General features: G+C 33.3%; 1 protein-coding gene across 11 annotated transcripts in view, besides 1 other annotated feature; it reads right to left on the bottom strand.

Moving 5' to 3' along the window:
• WDR7 (WD repeat domain 7) overlaps positions 1-15,399 on the bottom strand; it is a 385,248-nt gene that overhangs the window by 156,083 nt on the left and 213,766 nt on the right. For all 11 annotated transcript variants that reach the window (XR_007066131.1, XR_007066132.1, XR_007066133.1 and 8 more), the window contains one exon: positions 359-580. Coding sequence is in view for 7 of the 11 variants with exons in the window: in NM_015285.3 (NP_056100.2) it covers positions 359-580 (222 nt within the window). In the remaining 4 variants the exon portion in view is untranslated. The remainder of the gene's footprint in view (positions 1-358; positions 581-15,399) is intronic.
• Positions 6,214-6,802: an enhancer, noted in NCBI's record as "OCT4-NANOG-H3K27ac hESC enhancer chr18:54540953-54541541 (GRCh37/hg19 assembly coordinates)". NCBI's record gives its function as "activates a minimal SCP1, AML or CMV promoter by ChIP-STARR-seq in primed H9 embryonic stem cells {active_cell/tissue: H9 hESC(primed)}" and the evidence as "EXISTENCE:reporter gene assay evidence [ECO:0000049][PMID:30033119]".

The raw sequence follows: 15,399 nt of genomic DNA, 5'->3' as shown, positions 1-15,399 counted from the left end.
GACTTTTCAAACCACATTCAGAACAAACTGCATAGTTTTCCAGAAATTATTTTAAAAGCTTTAACTTGAATCTAGCTTTCATAAATTCTGGCTAAAATCTTGACGAACAATGCAAAAATACAAAGGTCAGAAATGTGTTATTTTAAGAATAGCATTTAAAAGACGATGTTTTAACTTTTAAAAAGGAGTTCAGGTTACTGTAACTAACGGGAAATGTGCCAGATTGTACTGCTTTCTAACTTCACGCAAGCAATCTAAATGAGCTAAAACTCAGGATATAGTCAATGTTATGAGATTTTGCTGACAAATAATATGTATTCAGAAGCAACAGATCAGCATTAGAAGTTTTAAAACTTACAAGTATGTCTGGCCAGCGAGTAGTTGGATCCACCACTAGTCAACCCGAATCCCTCAGGAATTTGGCTAGAGCTTCGAGGTCTGGTCAATAGTTTAGGAGGTTCAATTTCAGCACCAAATTCAGCTCCTATTACTCCAAGTAAAACAATAGCGGTAGCTTGCTTCCGTCTTTCCTCGTAAGATGTAGAAATTTTTTTCATTTGTGGGACACTTGATAAGCAACCTGAAGACCAAAACATAGAATCTCAACTTAGAACAAATCAATATACAAAAAGACACATGATTAGAAAAACATTCAGGACTGCACGTTCGGAAAGAATAGCATTTTCAGCAAATGGCACTAGGACAAATGGTTACTCACAGGCAAAAGGATGAATTTAGACAGACCCCTATCTCTAACCTTCCAAAAAAAAACCTGAAAATTGATCATAATCCTAAATATAACAGCTAAAACAAAAAACAACTCTAAGAAGGCAACATAGGTGTATATGTTTGTAATTCTGGATTATATAATGATTTCTTAGATATGATACCAAAAGCACCAGTAATTTTTTAAAAATTTTACATAGGATTTCATCAATACTAAAAACTTTTGTGCTTGAAAAGACAGAATCAAGAAAGGATAAAGACAACCCACAGAATCAGAGAAACTATTGTCAAATCACCTATCTAATAAAAATTATTTCCAGAATATATAAAAACTTTCATGACTCAATAATAAGAACAATCTGAATAGATATTTTTCCAAAGTTGTATGAATGGTCAACACGCACATGAAAAGATGCTAAACATCATTAGTCATGAGGAAAATGCAAAGCAAAACCACAATGAGATACCACTTCACATCCATGAGAATGGCTGCAATAAAAAAGACCATTACAGTGCTGTTGAGGATGCACAGAAATGGAAACCCTCATGCTTTGTTGTTGGGCATGATAAAAATGGCACAACTACTTTGGAAAACAGCTTGGCAGTTCCTCAACAAGTTAGACATAGGGTTACCATGTGGCCCAGCAACTCCACTCCAACGTATCTCCCAAACAGAAATGACACACATGTACACACAAAGACATGGATGCTCACAGCAGCATTATTCAAAATAGCCTTGGAAACAACTGAAATGTCCATCAACTGAAGAATAAAGAAAATGTATTAGGTTGGTGCAAAAGTAATCGCAGTATTTGCCATTACTTTCAGTGGCAAAAATAGCGATTACTTTTGTACAAATCTAAGTATATCCATACAAAATTAGATTACTCAGCAATAAAAAAGGAATGAAGTAATGATACATGCCACAAAAATGACGCTGAAAACATTACGCTAAGGGGAAGAAGCTGGTCACAAAAGACCATATATTGTATGATTCCATTTATATGAAATGTTTAGAATAGGCAAATCCATAGAGACAGAAAGCAGATTAGTGGTTGGCTGGAGTGGGGGTAAAATGGTTAACAATAGCTAATAAGTACTAGTTTTAGGGAGTAATGAAAATGTTCTAAAATTAGATTGAGGTAATATCTGCACAACCCCAAATATGCTAAGAATCACTGAATTCCACATTTTAAAAGGATGAATTTTATACAACATACATCTTATCTCAGTACATTTGTTTTTTTAGAAAGATTGTTCATTGAGTAATTTATTAATGTGCCCATTAATTTAACAAATATTTATTGGGCATCTACTTTGGATCAGAAAATAACAAGCATGAAAATAAACAGCTCAGGTTTCTAAGAATCTCACAAGTGCATGAAAAAAAGAGAGCACATTGGATTTAAGACTCAAAGGGTAAGTTTTCCAGGCAATAAGAGGGATGGGCCATACGAGGAGGAGAAGGATGATTATTTCATCCAGTATGGCACAGAATGCAAAACAGCAATCAGATATTTGAAGAAATACTTGTTACTGGAGCAAAGCTCAGCATAGTTTCATATTCAGAAGAAAGATTAGAAGGATACCCAAAAATAATTAAAACAATTTTATATCTTGATTAGAATACCAATAAATAGGGCATAATAGGAATGTTACTTCTTAAAATTTCCTTTCTTAACCTCACTCTTGCTACATTCTTTTAAGACTTACATAGTTCTACCCTTTTTTAGTTCTACTCCATTCTAAAAATAGTCTACCATTATTTTTTGATATTTATTATGCAATATTATAAGCATCCACAGAATTAGTAGAAAATATATAAAGAAATCATGACTAACATGTACACAACTAATGAACCTTATAAAATACTGATGTTTTTCCAAAGGTTTCCAATTTTTATAAAGTAATTAATCTGGGTATTATCAAAGCCCACCATGGACTGTGTCTTGACCTCACTGCCTTGCCCTCCTGCCCTAAAGGTCACCACAATTCTGACCTTATCAAATTTTATATCTATTATATAATTATATCAATGTTACCTGAAATAAATTAATATATTTTCTGGCCTTGAACTATGCTTCCATATCTGGGGTAAACCCTGGATAAACAAACGTATGCATGGATAAGCAGTGACAGATAGATAACACCAACAGATAAACACACCAACAGACAGACCCTGAACTAAATTTGCTAATAGGCTTTTTTATATCCATGTCCATAAGTGAGACTGGTCTATACTTTTCTTTTCATATTCTATACTTAGTATCAACATAATACGAGCCTCAGAAATGAGTTAAGTAACGTTCACTCTCAGTCCCTGAGGTCCCCCTTCCATCATTCCTTGAAAACAGTTGAAGGATTCTTGAAGTTTCATGAAAGTTCTCCTCTAAAACTATTAAGTCTGCATTTCGAGACACTCCCTGTGTGGAGTCAGAGGGTAGGATATGGTGGCAAAAGTAGCAGGATGAAGGAAGGAATATTTATTATAAATAGCTCCTTATTTAGTTTGACTTTCTTCTTCTTGAGTCATTTCTGGCAGATTATAATTTTAAAAGAATTATCTATTTCATCTACATTTTCAAATTTATTGGTATGGAATTATTTACAGTATTCTCTATATGATTAAAAAAACTCAAGTATATCAGCAGATATGGATCCCTTAAACACTGTGTATTTATACCTTCTCTAATATTATTTTTCATGCTTTTCTTAAAGTTTTGCTGGAAATATATGTTTTATCAGATTATTTTTGTTTTGGTTTTTATTTTTATTTTTGTAGAGACAGGGTTTCACTATGTTTCCCAAGGTGGTCTTGTACTCCTGGCCACAAGTGATCTTCCTGCCTTCGCCTCCCAAAGCGCAGGAATTACAGGCATGAACCACTGTGCCCAGCCCCAAATTAGTTTTAAAAAGTACTTTGGTTTTGATCTTTTGTATCATTGTTTTCTATCTTATTAATTTCTGCTCTTATTTTTATTATTTCTCCTTCTACTGTCTTTAGATTATCTCTTTCTTCTGTTTTGCTTCTAGTTTCTTGTGTTGAATAGAACTCACTTATTTCCACTATTTTACATTATGGTTAACATTGCCAGTCACGTATTTAATACATGCATTTTCCTCTTCTTTTTTATCAATTTTTTTCTGAGTAGCAATGCACTCAGATCTTTTCAATGTCCTTTCAGGAACTGAGGAAGCTATAGCCTAGCTCCTGGCTTTAAACTTTATTCATGATGTATTGTAAGTCCTCTTTAGCTCATAGGAGCCAAAAGCCTGCTTCTGGAAAGTAGCTAATGGTTTCAGCCCAGATCATTACATTTCTATTTCATTACTGGTCCACAGAGATATCTTTTTTGAGCCTAGTTATGTCTCTTTGGTTTTCTCTTTGTATACTTTATCCATCATAGCAATGTATTTGGCACAGAAGGATTAAAAAAGTGAACTCCCGGAGCCATCTTGATTGGAGGTCAGCTTTCTGCTCTTTCTAATACTAATCCACCCAGTTTTTCTGGCCGCTTTCAGTTCTTTGCGCTATATGTTGATTAAATGAGTATAACAAAGGTCACTCAAAGCTCGGTATGCCAACCGAGAAATTAGCAGCAAGGCTCTCTGAATATTTTTTGGTATTTTGTTTTATTTTATCTATTTGTTTTACTTTGTCATTCTGTATTACTGGAGGTAAGGCAAACTAAAGAGGTGCCAAACCATGAGAGGCCTCATATGGCAAGCTGAAGACTTCTAACCTATGGCTAATTGAAAGCCATTAAATAGTTCTGTATAAGGTGGTGATGTTAGATTCATTCACTGTTAGATCATGGTAGTGGCAGTATGGTGGATGAATTGTGAGGTCAAACAAGACTGGTGTCAAGGAAAACCAAAAGAAGACTCACACAATGATCAGGTGAACAACAATAAGAACCAGTGGTGGTGGCAGTTCATTCCATCCATTACTGAACTCAGTTATTCAACATGTAAGAATTGCAGGTCTTGTGTATGCCTGGATTATGCTAGATAAAAATTAATACAGTTAAGTAAAGCCCTGCCCTCATTGAACTTAAGGGCTACTAAACAGGCATTGGAAATGTGTAAGTTACAGAATCAATGAGAACTTTCTGGATCGAAAAAACAGTATGTTTAAGAACTTAAAGCATGAAGGAGTCTGTGGATTTCTATTTCAAGGACAGCTAAGTTGGCTGGAACTCTATAACTCTAGAGGAGAACTGCAGAAAATGAAGCAGGAGAGGCAGGAAAGGGCCAGATCATATATGATTCTGTAGGTCATATGCACATTCCAATTTATATCCCACAAACAGTGGGAAGGTATGCAAGATGGGTTTTAAACTACAGAATAGCTTAATTAGATTTAGGGTTTCAAAAATCCACTGTAAGCATAGTATAAAGAATATTAGAAGTGGGGTGATCACTTGAGGGGTACTGTAGAAATCAAGATGAGAGATTACAGTGGATTTGGTTTTGTGATGTTAAACAGAAGACACGGGAAGTGGAGAGCTTTACAATACACGATGAGGTCTGAGAAGATGGAAATATGGCAGAAAGATTTGAGATATCATATCCTAAGTTCTTTTAAAAATTACTGATGAAAACAAAACAGAACAAAACAACCCTGGTAACAAAAGTAGATACAGCCTTTCCAGAAGCTGACTTTAAAAAACTTCTGGAGGACACGACTTTATAGTATACACTTTAAATTCCATTGTTTAGCTGTGCTGAAAGGCACAAAAAAATCTGGATGTTGGCAAGAAGACCTAGTTGAGTCTAAGAAATGGAAATTATAGGATATTATAAAGAATCTAATAATTTAAAAAGAACTGAGTGAGAAAGTGGCTTAACGTATGTAAGGGAAAAAGGAGGATTGGTTATCTAGAAAACTAAGATGGTAACACCAGAGTATTACTTACTTGGATTCCTAAAATGTTTGGTGCAATTATGAGTATAAAAAAGATTTCTTCTTGTTGCTGTTATGGTTTCTTAGCTTCCGCACATCACACTTTATTCTTTTTCTTTTTTTAAAGTTAGTTCTGGATGTTTGCCATTCACTTTTAGGTAGTGTACAGAAAGGAAAAATCGAAAAGGAGTCCACAGATAATAGATTTATCTTTAAAACTATTCTAATTGCTCACGTAAAAGTTTAGTTATGAAACATTTTCTTAATTTGTTGAATTTTGTATAGGATATTTCAGATCACATGCAGGTTGATTAATAATGATGCCCCTCCAATGTTACAAATTATTTTGTCATGATAAATCATATTTTGTGAATTATATTTCTTATAAAATATTTTAAATTAATAATTAAAATATCTTCTAGTCTGATACCAAAGTATGCATTTCTCTCTCTTCATGGAAAGTTTTAGTTTTTTAAAGACAGAGAGGAAATGTCAGTAAAAAGTATTAGCAGGTATATGCTATTACAGATTCAAAGTGTGACACCAATCTGTGATAGCTATGGTAACTAAAGGGGGAAAAAAACCACCTAAATGCGTAACCATACTAAGAAGAAAAAAAAATCAATAATCATTGCCTCTGTGTTTAGAAGAACCTTAATTCTAGAAAAAGTGATATTTAACATTTTGATAATCTGTATCTCAGGATATGCATTTAAAACCAACTTTGTTTATGTATAAGAACAGGCACAAGGAGGAAAAGCTCTGTGGCACAGCATCTAGATTCACATACTATATATTTTACTCTTTACATAGTATTCTTGAAACAGGAAGCAAACCAAGCTCCCCTCCCCCATGTCTCAGCAAGAGCATGCTCCATAACAATAGTTCAAAGGAAAGCTCTATTCTGCAGTTGCACTGATTGTTCTGTCAGCTGACCTCTGCAGAAGGGAATTGCTAACCGCTGCCTTGCTCCTTAGCTGACAAATGAATGATCGCAGCTCCATCTATTTTCACTATGGCTGCCTCTAGCCCAGGTGCTCAGACAGAGAGCCTGGTGTGACATCTTAGATCAAGATGAATTGGCACAAACTCCTGATTCAAGATTGTTTTATACCATTTAATTTAGTTTCTTCCCCTGCTTGGATGAGCACAGCTCTGGTTATGGATTTCTATTCTAATGTACTGAAGCAGGCCCTGAAAGAAGCCAATGAAGCAGCTGCTGGAGCACGGGACTGCAGGGATACTGATCAATAGGCAAGGCATTGACCCCAGCCGTTCAGCCTCTGCAATGGCCACTGCTTGAAGCGGGAGGGGGCACAGAAGCACATATGGGCTGCTTCCAGTAGGAAATTAAACAACAGGGGCATTTGGTGAGCTCCGCCTCCATCCCTGGTCCCCCACCTTCTTTATGTTCCTTTTGTTTAATTGCCTCAATTTTGTCTTAACTCCCACTCCAGGGGAAGGAATTAAGACTTTAGGGAAGTTTTAACAGTGTACTTTCAAACAATCATTTGTAAATTTTATCCCTAAGCTAATGGAAAGAATTGTAACAGGTACCCTCTGCTAAGTGGCCAAAATATGAAATCTTAATTAGCTGTCAAGTACATCACTTGGTGTAGTTTAAAGGTTGGCATGTACATAGGCTCATAAGAACACCGCCCAACTGGCAATTAACACTACTGATGCTGAAATTCTACAGTATGTAATTTTTATCAGTATTCAAATCTAAAAAGATGATAGCCCTTCATTAACAAGGAAAGAGGTAAAAAAGAACAAGGAAAGGAGTCCCTAAAGGAGACACTGACTGATTAGTGTTTCTATAAGGGAGAGATGCCCATCCTGCTACTGTTCTAAAAATAACACAGCAATTTCTCATTCCTATAATTTTTCAAATTTGGAAATATCTTTAAATTATTGGCTTGCCTGTACTTTCTGTTAACAGAAGAAATATGTAACTAGTTGCAATGTTTTCCTACAAATAAAATGACAACCAAATGGAAGATTTTGAGATATTAAAAATAAAATAATTCTGTAAAAGTAAACCTTTCTACAGTTTCATTTGTCTCATGAAAATTTGGTATTTTTTTTCCAGAGACATGCCTCCATTTAATCATGCTAAGGGGTGACATGGAGATCCATTTTCTTGACAGGACGGTTGATCACCCTATCACAGTAAGAAAATTAATACCTTCAACTAGCCCTGTGTGGAAAAGAGAAGCTATATGCGATGGTAAAGGACATTAATGTTCTACATTTTAAGTTGCAAACAGAATACATGTTCTGTGTGAAAATGATACGTGGTCTCATTATTGGGTTACTTATAACAAAATATGAGGCTTTAATTTTGATTAAAACAACAATTTACTTGACAGAGTGTTCTTCAAATGTACGTAATTGTCTTCAGATTTAGCATAATTGACTCTAGATTTACACAAACTGGAGTAAACACTTTACTTACAGCTTAACTAGAATACAGGTAAAATATTTGAGAAGTTTAAGCTATTTAAAGGGCTATGAGGTATTGATTACTTCATTTAAAAAGCAGTCAGAGAGTGCAACCAAGAGGTCAAGATAAATTTAACAGTTTGAAGCACTTTACTAAATAACTCTAAAGATCATGTTAATTGGCTTTGTGCAGTGCTAGGGTAAAATTAATTTTATCCTGGCTTACAATAAAAGGATTAAAAGACATATTAAGTTCTTCAGTTTTAACTGGAATAGGAATCAATGGATTTGAATTAAGGCTAAAGGCGGTTTTATGAGAGATGGACTACTAGCAGATACTTTATATGTGCTATTGAGCCATATATTGATGGGGCTTTATTATTGCATTAGGTATTAAAACCTTAGATAAGTAGATACCACCAATTTACTACTCCGAGAATACTTTCAGAACTGTGCTTTGACCTGAAAAAACTGTTCTTAAACATTCAATTCTTTATTTAGAAATGAGTGTCATAATACTTGTTACAGCTGACATATATAAGTAAATTTCTAGTAAAAATTAAAATAATGCGGTTGAATTCAGTCAGAACTCCCGTCAAGATAATAACCATATTGAAAACATAAACTATAAAATAAACATGTCATTAGGATTTTTTTAACCCAACACATTATATTAAGATTTGTGTTAACATAACAATTTTATGCCAGAAATTTCTGGCACAAGATGGAGTCCAAACGAAATTCACAATGATACAAATATTGTCTAAATTTAGTATAAATTGCAATATACCCTAAAAACCTTTTGAAAGGTCAGAAATGTCTATTGGTTCATGATAAATAAAAATAAACAATAAAAGTGTTTCTTTACTTTTAAATATTTAATAATATGTTTGAGAATCATACGTGTACAAAGATAATTTGGTTTTACTATTTGCTGCCTCCAAAGTGAAAAATACAATTTGCATTTAATAAGACATAGTTTTAAAAATAACCGTGACTTTGTAAGACTTTACATAAATGACTAGAAAAACAGTGAGCTGTAAGATCTCACAGCAGAAAACTAAATGGCAACATGTAGAGACTAAAATAATTTGGATTAAGCTAGAAAATACTTTCTATTATGGTTTTTTAGAGCCTTGTTTTATTTGTAATAAAGTGTATTTGCTAATATTAGATTTTGATTAATTATTAAAGAGCAAGAGCAAACTTAGCAAAGTGAACTTTGTTAATACTGACATTCTGGAGAACAAGCGAACTTTCAGACTTAAGACACGATTTACTATGTACAATGTCTGCATATAGTCAAAATAAATAGTCTGAGCACATCATTCAGAGCCCTACAAATGTTAGTCAATAAAGCTGCAAAAGATTTCTATTTTCAGACCAGTAAAATATTCTTCTAAAATTTTCATTTTATTTCTATTTTCTCAGTCCCAAGGATATTTTAAATGTGATATGGCATTATCAGCACACACTGACTATAAAAAGCATATATAAAACTGTATACTGTATTGAGTTTAAAACAATACATGATAGTGAAATGTGTCCAATCAAAATATATTTCAAACTAGATCTTCAAAAGTGAGTTACATTCAAATTGTCTTTAGATGTACTTTAATCAAAATAACTTTACCTTTCTCCTGACTACTATCCAAATTGAGGCTGGGCATGGTGGCTCACACCTCTAATTCCAGTACTTTGGAAGCTGAGGCAGGAAGATTGCTTCAGCCCAGGAGTTCAAGGTCAACCTGGGCAACAGAGCAAGACCCCATCTCTAAATTAATTAATTAATTGATACACCTGGCTGCCTAATGGAATATTAACAATTTTTAAGATCTATCTTTTTAATTATCATTGTATGCTGGTAATCAAATATGTTAATTCTATATTTACATACATAAATACATTGCATGTACATAATTATACATCTACACATAAGTATATAGCATTCTTAGTGAAGGTACCAAGACATGATACCTAAGCAAGCTAGAACTACACTTTTGAGATTTTTTTAAAACATGTTTTAGAATTATAATGAGAAAAATGTTGGCCCTCAGTGGAGTTTTCACAGTGTAAATAAGTTGTTTCCATATATGTATGGCTCAAACATTTTCCATACCTACTTGTTATTCTTAGGGTTGCTTAAAGTAGGGATAAAGTACAATACCATAAAAATGTCAAATTTTATCAGATATATAACAATAGTCTTTCAAAATAGCTTGCTAACAATAGGAAAAAAATCTTAAAAACAAACAAAAATCTGTTAATATTCATTTTTAAAACACTTTGGCTTTAAAAGAACTTAAAATGCTACATAAGTCATCCAATGTACCCCAAGTCTTTGAAGTCAAATACTTCAAAGCTAAATTTGTTAAATGGGAACACACAAAGACATAGATTGGTGATAATCCAGCTTGGGAGAAAGGACCCAAGATCTCGCTGTCCTGGTGGTGAATCCAGGTTTCATAGGCTCATGTGGAGGATGTATGTTGTGGATCCATGCCATTGTAAATGTATGTAATTAAGTTCTTTTCCTAAACCAAATGTGTTTATATGAATATTATATATTATTTTCATTTGTTGGCATAACTTAGAGCTCTGCAATTTCTACAAAATATGTCAAATAAATTTTAGTGATACAAAAAAATAAAATTGTACATGGTTGTATGGCCAACATGTAAATTTCAACCTGTGCACCTAAAGTAAATAAAATAAAGTTTTTAAGTTTTCTGTGTCTTCTTCTTTGCCTCCTATCAAGAAAATGAACTGATTAAAAATGGCTGTCATAGGGCACTTCCACATTTACTTTCAAATTTTCACATTATTATCAAAGCTACTGTGTGTATAGCTAATCTTGTGTTAGCGGCATAGATTTTCCCCCACTGTATTAAACACATATTTGAGTTACTTTGTGACACATCTGCCAATGTTTTCCTCACATCTACTGACAGAACATATGGAATTTGCTCCCCAAATCTAAGAGGCTTTTGCTGCTGGTGTTGCTGCTGTGTTACTTCCCCACTCACTTGAAAACTGAAGTAAACAAACATGCTATTAATTTGTATGTATGCACGATAGCCCCCTGCTGGAACACAATAGGTTCTGCAAATGCATATTTCTTTCTGCAGCTGCTGATTAAGCCATTCTGAAATAATGCCTCTTGTATACACATGTATTACATGTGTGTGCAGTTGACAAAATAGACAAAGCTATTTTCCATTAAATCAGATAAATGCAAAATATATGACCACTCTAAAATGATTTTCTTTTTCAAAGAAATAATCACTCCTCTGAAGGTGTGTCAATTATTTTGATAATTATAAATCTTAAGCTTTGAGGGCAATTCACATGTTTTTCAAGTAATTCATGAAACAATTTCTTATTTTTCACAAAGATCCTGTCCTATACCTATTTTCCTACCATCTGCATCATCTTATATTTCCCTTTATTCTCTACCTGAATAACAAGTTAATTTTTTTCTTTGCCTTTACTATTAGGGCAAACATTCTCAGTTTGAAAGGAAATTGAGATTTTAGTAATCCCAAGTATCTAAGGCAGCTAAGTAATCAGAAGTCTTATAGGTAAAAACTATCTCCAAAAACGTCTAACTTTTTTGCTTCAATTGACCTTTCAAAGGTGAATCTGATACACATGGCAAATTTAAGAAACTACAAATTGTAACACTGAGACCATTATTCGCATTTCCATGAGAAAAGGAATATTTCAGAAACACAGTGGGTAGTGACTTGTAAAATTATACAAATCTGAAAACACAGCATATCATTCTCAGATATTTTCTCATACAGTTACTACTTAGAAAAAGAAACTCTGGCAATGAGATTTACTTATAAAAATAGCGGGGTAGACATGGTACGTTTCTGTAAAAGATCAAATAGAAAACATGAGACAACATTTGGTGGACTGGTAGAATACCTCCTATGAAGATTTTATATCTGTGCATTTCAGCATAGTAAGAAATAAATAAACCTAAGGTCATTTTTATTTATAAAATGACAAATCATTTACTGGATTCACTTAAAACATATTTTCACCTGGGTCATTACCAACTCAGTGATATAAAACTGAGATGAAAAAGGCCTTGCTCTACTTCTGAGCCATTAACAAGTACATCTGTTCATTTATAAGGAGTATCTGTAGTATTCATTTTTTTAAATTATATCGCAATAATAAAACAATGACATGTGACTAAAAGTGACCATTTTTTAAAGGTTCGTTTGGAGTAAATTAGAACCTCTAAAGGATCTCTAGCTTTGAAAAATGATCACCTTATTTTACGTTATTTTTTCTTCTGCTTTCTTTACTGTAAGTGAGATGTTAAGTAGAAATAAAGGAGCATAGTTAGGGGCAACATAGTATCTTGGAAATTAATGCCCACACCTTTGTGGTACCTAGTTGTTATTTGGCAAATTTTTTTCATAGACCTTTTTCTATATACATAATTTCTTTTACTATATACCTTTTCAAATGAGCATATAGAGATATAAAAATGTACTAATATTCTCTTTCCTGTAACTACTTTATAGGATTTCCTATTATCTAGTTAATTTCATTTCGAATTTGGCTCTGAGTTGCCTCTGTTGCAAATATCAGACTGAAACAGCTTTCAGTCCTTGAATTTTTTGCACAATTATTCCAATGTTTAACTTAGCACATATGCCTAGAGATACTGAATATCTAACTCATTCATGTATTACAACTATGGATTTGGAAATGCTACTACTCCTGAAATAAACAGTAGGGGAAAAGTTTAATGTTTGCCTAGATATGTATGTAGTCAGATACTCAGGTTTATAAGATGTCATGCCATTTTTCCAAAACTAATTTTAAAACAAATCTGTTTCTGCTATGATACAACATAATCGTTTCCTCAAAATCCTCCCTATCTATCTCCCTCCCAATGATTTGAATCATTAGGTTACTCTGGAATTGTGAAGAGACGGCTTTCTAATCTCTAGTCTTTTATTAAGACAGAGATAACAGCATATGTAAAAACCTGGAAAATATATATGTATTGATGTTTGGTAAACATACATCCTCAAGATGGCTATTATTGTACTTAAACTGCTCTGAGATTTTTAAAAAAATTTTATGCTGGGCGTGCTGACTCATGCCTGTAATCCCAGCACTTTAGGAGGCCAAGGCAGGCAGATGGCTTGAGCTCAGGAGTTCGAGACCAGCCTAGGCAACATGGTGAAACCACATTTCTACTAAAAATACAAAAGAAATAAAAAAAATTAGCCAGGTGTGGTGGTGAGTGCCTGCAGTCTCAGCTGCTCAGGAGGCTGAGATGGGAGAATCGCTTGAGCCCAGGGGGCGGAGGTTGCAGTGAGCTGTTATTGTGCCACTGCACTCCAGCCTGGGCAACAGAGTGAGACCCTGCCTCAAAAATAAATAAATAAATAAATAAATAAATAAGTAAGTAAATAAAGTTGTTGCATAATAGATGTACATATTTTCAGGGTATATGTGGTAATTTAATACATTCATGTAATTTGTAAAGATCAAATGAGTGTAACTGGGATATTCATCACCTTAAATATTTGTCTTTTCTTTATGCTAGAAATGCTCAGATTCTTCTCTTCCAGTTATTTCAAAATATACAATAGGCTCTGAGACTCTCTGGCAGGACAAAAAAAGGAACATAAAGTCAAGAGGAGATAAACTTTACTGAAAACTCCTACCACCACTGCCATAAAATCACCAGTGTCAGTGTCACGAATATTTTGCCATATAAGAGCTGAACACAGACAAAAGCAATCCAAAGCAAGAATTTAATATGTGCTTATCATTTCTCTGAAACATAATTTCTCCTATTAGCAAAAGAAAAAATAATTTATCTAATACTTAATCCAATGTTTTTGATTTCTAAAAAATACTCAATAAGAAATAGTATTTACTCATAGAAAAAAAATCTTTCGAAATATGTTAAAGATAAAAAGTTCCTCCATTTTAAAAACATCAACAAAAAAACTGAAGTCCACCTTTTACTTAAGGTGATTCATATACCTCCTAATACTGTATTTGTTATAATGACATAATTATATGCCTACTACAATCACTTTCCAGATTCATTAAAAAAAAACAGAAAAACTATTAAGATTTAAAAAAACAAAAAACATATTGGAAGCTGAGTGTGTAAAGCATCTCTTAGGTCCAAGGTAAGATGACTGGCTGAATTTTAAAATTTTAGAGAAAAAAGGAGATTACAGAGCTGCTCTTTTAATCAGAACAACAGATATTTTATAGATAAGGAAAGTTAAGTATGTGAAGTGTTCAAGCCACAAGGTGAAGGGCACAAACAGAGTGGGCATTCCTGGCAACATCATTCTGGATGGATCACCAGAATCTTCACTGACCTACAATCTCAGTGTTTACTGCATAGAAATTAGTTAATATTTGATGCCTATGCCAACATGAATCTCTATTATGTATCTTCAAATCTTGTATAGTTTTAAATGTTCCTTAAAAAATAATAAGCAAGCAAAATTTATAATTAGAAAAAAGTCTTAAAAAAAGTTTTGGACCATGGTATCTAATGTTATATATATTTAGTACAAAGCTATCTAAAAAATGTAGAAAATGCCAGAAGAGATATTCTATCAAGCATATGAACTACATTAAATTGTTTTTATATGAAAGATAAATATGAAATACTGAAACATACCAAAAACAAAGTACTGAGCATCAATGCATTACCATACAGAAATCAAATACTTAAATGATTTAACAGAATAAAATCAGCATGCCTTCCACAGAAACATCAACCATTTCCACAGAAGAAAAATTTCTCCAAATACAATATATGGTCAATAACACTAATTCAAAATATGAATTAAACATTAATTTCTCTACATAAACCTTCCTGTAAGTTGTCTACTATAAACATGCATGTACAAATATTTTCAAAAGTCACATACTGCACCTCAGAATACTGCAAATAAATTCATAATCATTTCTGAAGTTTACTGTGTAATATCAAACAATAGCTAAGAATCAACATAAGGGTTAAGACAATCATTTTCTACTGCATACTAGTGCTATTCTAAGCCGATAGTGTGTTTAAATCCACACCAATGAAATCAATACAGCACTGTTGTATTCAAGGTGAGACCAAATAAACCTGTCTGAAGCTTTGAGAAATAGGCTTTGCAGTATACTTTGAGTGCTAAATGCCTTTCAGTCCAGAGATGTCATTAAATAATCATTAGCCATCATTCACTCTTCCTAAAAAGCTTAACACCTAAACTTGTTCAGCATCCACTACAACATTAGTATAGACTACCAAGTAAGTACTTATTAGC

This window comes from Homo sapiens, chromosome 18 (assembly GCF_000001405.40).
Source record: "Homo sapiens chromosome 18, GRCh38.p14 Primary Assembly".
NCBI classification, from domain to species: domain Eukaryota; kingdom Metazoa; phylum Chordata; class Mammalia; order Primates; family Hominidae; genus Homo; species Homo sapiens.
Note: the sequence above shows the minus strand (reverse complement) of the source record. Positions and strands in the feature narration are given on the sequence as shown.